Here is a 4,697-nt window from a genome sequence, read left to right as displayed (position 1 = left end):
CACTGATTTGGGAGAGGTCTGATAAAGAAAAAGGAGCATTAACCTTGACTATGCCTTTAGCTTCAGCCATCTTTTTAAGAGGAAATTGCTGGGCAGGTAGGGGAGGGCTACTCACAGAATGAAACTGTAAACTGGACCAGGTGTAAGGAGGGGAGGTGATAAAAAGATTACCCGGTGGAGGAGTGGAGGCTGAGGAAGAATTCGGCCCTAGCTTGGCCTGGCAAGGAGCAGCCTGGGGAGGAGGGGAGAGGTCAGATGGGTCTGTAGAAAAGGAAGATTAGAAAGACTCAGCGATGCTTGGGGTTGGGACTGAGGGTACAGGCGGGAGGGAAAGAAGGAAGATTTGGGACGAGTTGCACTGGGCACAGAGACTAGGGAGGGACCGATGTGTAAAAGAATGCCTGGACATCAGGCACCTCAGGCCATTTGCCTATTTTATGACAAGAATTATTTAGATCTTGCAGGATGGAAAAATTGAAAGTGTCATTTTCTGGCTATTTGGAACCACTGTCAAGTTTGTATTGAGGTCAAGCAGCATTGCAGAAGAAAATAAGGCATTTAGGTTTTAGGTCAGGTGTGAGTTGAAGAGGTTTTAAGTTCTTGAGACCACAGGCTAAGGGAGATGGAGGAATGGAGGGTGGAAGGTTGCCTATAGTGAAGGAGGCAAGCCCAGAGAAAAGAGAGAGTAGAGACACGGAGGGAAGGGGTTCGGGGGTTCTTACCCTTCAGAAAAGTGGGAAAGGGGTCGGGGCATGGAAATAAGGGGTTGGGGATTCTTGTCCCCTAGAAAAGTGGGACTTGTCGCTAAGGGTGAAGGAGAAGGGGTTGAGGGGTTCTTGCCCCTCCCCCAGAAAAGCAGAGAAGGGGTAGAACCACGGAGAGAAGAGGTTGGGGTACTTCCCCCTCCCCCAGAAAAGCAGGACTTGCCACTAAGGGTGAAGGATCAAGGCAGGCGTCCTTGCATGGTCTGACACCTCTGAAACGTGAGTGAATAATCAGAGAGGCATCCATCCCTGAAATGATTAAACACCAAGGGAAGGCTCCCTTCCCAGTCCGTGACTGGTGCCAGAGTTTTGGGTCCATGGATAAAACGTGTCTCCTTTGTCTCTACCAGAAAATGAAAGGAACTGAAATTAAGAGAAGGGAGAGATTGAAGTGTGGCACCAAGATTGAAAGGAGAAAGTGGTTGAGGGATAGTGAGGGAGGTTGGAGAAGAGAGTAAAAATAGGCCGCTTACTGGATTTGAAATTGGTGAGATATTTCTTGGGCTGGTTGGTCTGAGGACCTGAGGTCATAGGTGGATCTTTCTCACGGAGCAAAGAACAGGAGGACAGGGGATTGATCTCTTAAGGGAGGTCCTCCGATCCGAGTCACGGCACCAAATTTCATGTGTGTCTGTGTGAAGAGACTACCAAACAGGCTTTGTGTGAGCAATAAAGCTTTTAATCACCTGGGTGCAGGCGGGCTGAGTCTGAAAAGAGACTCAGCGAAGGGAGATAAGGGTGGGGCTGTTTTATAGGATTTGGGTAGATAAAGGAAAATTACAGTAAGGGGGGTTGTTCTCTGGCAAGCAGAGTGGGGGTCACAAGGTGCTCAGTAGGGGAGCTTTTGAGCCAGGATGAGCCAGGAGAAGGAATTTCACAAGACAATGTCATCAGTTAAGGCTACCATCCTATTAAAACCTAATCACTCTTACCCTGCTCAATGCCAATATCTTATCCTATAGCATGCTTTGAAAGGATTAAAGCCTGTTATCATTCACCTGTTACAGCATGGCCTTTTAAAGCTTATAAACTCTTCTTGACATTCACCTCATTTCCCCATATTTCCTTCTTTCCTCTTCCTCGCCTTGATCATGCTTGATTTATTGATGGCAGTTCCACCAGGCCTAATTGCCACACCAGCAAAGGCAGGCTATGCTATAGTACAAGCCACTATCCCACCTCTTAGAACCTCTCATTTCCTTTCCATCGTGGAAATCTATCCTCAAGGAAATAACTTCTCAGTGTTCCATCTGCTATTCTACTACTCCTCAGGGATTATTCAGGCCCCCTCCCTTCCCTACACATCAAGCTCAAGGATTTGCCCCCACCCAGGACTGGCAAATTAGCTTTACTCAACATGTCCCGAGTCAGATAACTAAAATACCTCTTAGTCTAGGTAGACACTTTCACTGGATAGGTAGAGGCCTTTCCTACAGGGTCTGAGAAGGCCACCGCAGTCATTTCTTCCTTTCTGTCAGACATAATTCCTCAGTTTAGCCTTCCCACCACTATACAGTCTGATAACAGACCAGCCTTTATTAGTCAAATCAGCCAAGCAGTTTTTCAGGCTCTTAGTATTCAGTGAAACCTTTATCCCTTATGGTCCTCCGTCTTCAAGAAAAGTAGAATGGACTAAATGTCTTTTAAAAACACACCTCACCAAGCTCAGCCAACAACTTAAAAAGGACTGGACAATACTTTTACCACTTTCGCTTCTCAGAAGTCAGACCTGTCCTCAGGATGCTACAGTGTACAGCCCATTTGAGCTCCTGTATAGATGCTCCTTTTTATTAGGCCCCAGTCTCATTCCAGACACCAGACCAACTTAGACTGTGCCCCCAAAAAACTTGTCATCCCTACTATCTTCTATCTAGTCATACTCCTATTCACTGTTCTCAACTACTCATACATGCCCTACTCTTGTTTACACTGCCAGTTTGCATTATTTCTCCAAGCCATCACAGTTGATATCTCCTGGTGCTATCCCCATACTGCCACTCTAAACTCTTGAAGTAAATAAATAATCTGCTGGCAGGACTATGCTGAATCTCCTTAGGCACTCTCTAATCAGATGTCCTAGGTCCTCCCAATTCTTAGACCTTTTATACCTGTTTTTCTCCTTCTCTTATTCCATTTAGTTTTTCAATTCATACAAAACCGTATCCAGGCCATCACCAATAATTCTACACCACAAATATTTCTTCTAACAACTCCACAATATCACCTTTTACCACAAAATCTTCCTTCAGCTTAATCTCTCCCACTCTAGGTTCCCACGCCACCCCTAATCCTGCTCGAAGCAGCCCTGAGAAACATTGCCCATTATCTCTCCATACCACCTCCAAAAATTTTCACCATCCCAACACTTTACCACTATTTCATTTTATTTTTCTTATTAATATAAGAAGACAGGAATGTCAGGCCTCTGAGCCCAAGCTAAGCCATCATACCCCCTGTGACCTGCATGTACACATCCAGAAGGCCAGTTCCTGCCTTAACTGATGACATTCCACCACAAAAGAAGTGAAAATGGCCTGTTCCTGCCTTAACTGATGACATTGTCTTGTGAAATTCCTTCTCCTGGCTCATCCTGGCTCAAAAGCTCCCCTACTGAGCACCTTGTGACCCCAACTCTGCCCGCCAGAGAACAACCCCCCTTTGACTGTAATTTTCCTTTATCTCCCCAAATCCTATAAGACAGCTCCACCCTTATCTCCCTTCGCAGAGTCTCTTTTCGGATTCAGCCCGCCTGCTCTCGGGTGATTAAAAGCTTTATTGCTCACACAAAGCCTGTTTGGTGGTCTCTTCACATGGAGGTGCATGAAAGCATCCACAGTAAAAAACAGGTTTTCCATGGAGGTAAAACAACCTTATATTGGAAGAAGATGCCATCTAGGACTAAAGGGAAGCAGCTAAAGAGAAGCAAATGCCCAGCTTTAAAATTTCAAAGGAGACGCAAACTCTCTTGTTAGTAGCTAATGCAGCTGGTGACTTTAAATTGAAACCAAAGCTTATGTGCCTTTCCAAAAATTCTAAGACCCTTAAAAGTATACTAAATTGACTCTGCCTGTGCTCTGTAAATAGAATGACAAATCTTTTAATATAGCACATTTGTTTACAGCATAGTTTACTGATTACATTTAAGCCCACCATCAAGACCTACTGCTCGGCAATAGATTCTTTTCAAAATATTATTGCACATTGACAATGCACCTGGTCATCCCAGAACTCTGATGGAGATGTTTAAAGAAATTAATGTGTTTTCATGCCTGCTAAGAAAATATCCATTCTGATCCATTTGCCCATGGATCATTGATTTTCGCTTTCAAGTATTCTTACTTAAGAAATGCATTTCAGGCCGGGCGCAGTGGCTTTCACTCGTAATCCCAGAGTTCGAGACCAGCCTGGCCAACATGATGAAACCTCGTCTCTTCTAAAAATACAAAAATTAGCTAGGCATGGTGGCATGCACCTGCAATCCTAGCTACTAGGGAGGCTGAAGCAGGAGAATCACTTGAACCCAGGAGGCAGAGGTTGCAGTGAGCTCTCACACCACTGCACTCTAGCCTGGAAACAGAGCAAGACTCTGTCTCAAAAATAAATAAATAAAATAAATAAATAAATAAATACATTTCAGAGGGATAAAACTGCCATAAGGAATGAGTCCTCTGATCTGGGCAAAATAAATTGAAAACTTTCTGGGGAAAAAAAAATCACCACTGTAGATGTCATTAAGAACCTTTGTGATTCATGAGAGGAGGTGAAAATATTAACACTTACAGGAGCTTGGAAGAAGTTGAGTCCAGCCCTCATGAATAACTTTAAGGAGTTTAATACTTCAGTGGAAAAAGTCATTGCAGATGTGGTAGAAAGAACAAGAAAATTAGAGCTAGAAGTGAAACCTGAAGGTGTGACTAAATTGTTTCAATTTCA

At 44.2% G+C, this 4,697-nt stretch overlaps 1 annotated feature.

Moving 5' to 3' along the window:
• Positions 2,901-3,401: an enhancer, noted in NCBI's record as "OCT4-NANOG-H3K27ac hESC enhancer chr3:144829251-144829751 (GRCh37/hg19 assembly coordinates)". NCBI's record gives its function as "activates a minimal SCP1, AML or CMV promoter by ChIP-STARR-seq in primed H9 embryonic stem cells {active_cell/tissue: H9 hESC(primed)}" and the evidence as "EXISTENCE:reporter gene assay evidence [ECO:0000049][PMID:30033119]".

The sequence above is a fragment of the Homo sapiens genome, chromosome 3 (genome assembly GCF_000001405.40).
Source record: "Homo sapiens chromosome 3, GRCh38.p14 Primary Assembly".
Taxonomy (NCBI): Eukaryota; Metazoa; Chordata; class Mammalia; order Primates; family Hominidae; genus Homo; species Homo sapiens.
Note: the sequence above shows the minus strand (reverse complement) of the source record. Positions and strands in the feature narration are given on the sequence as shown.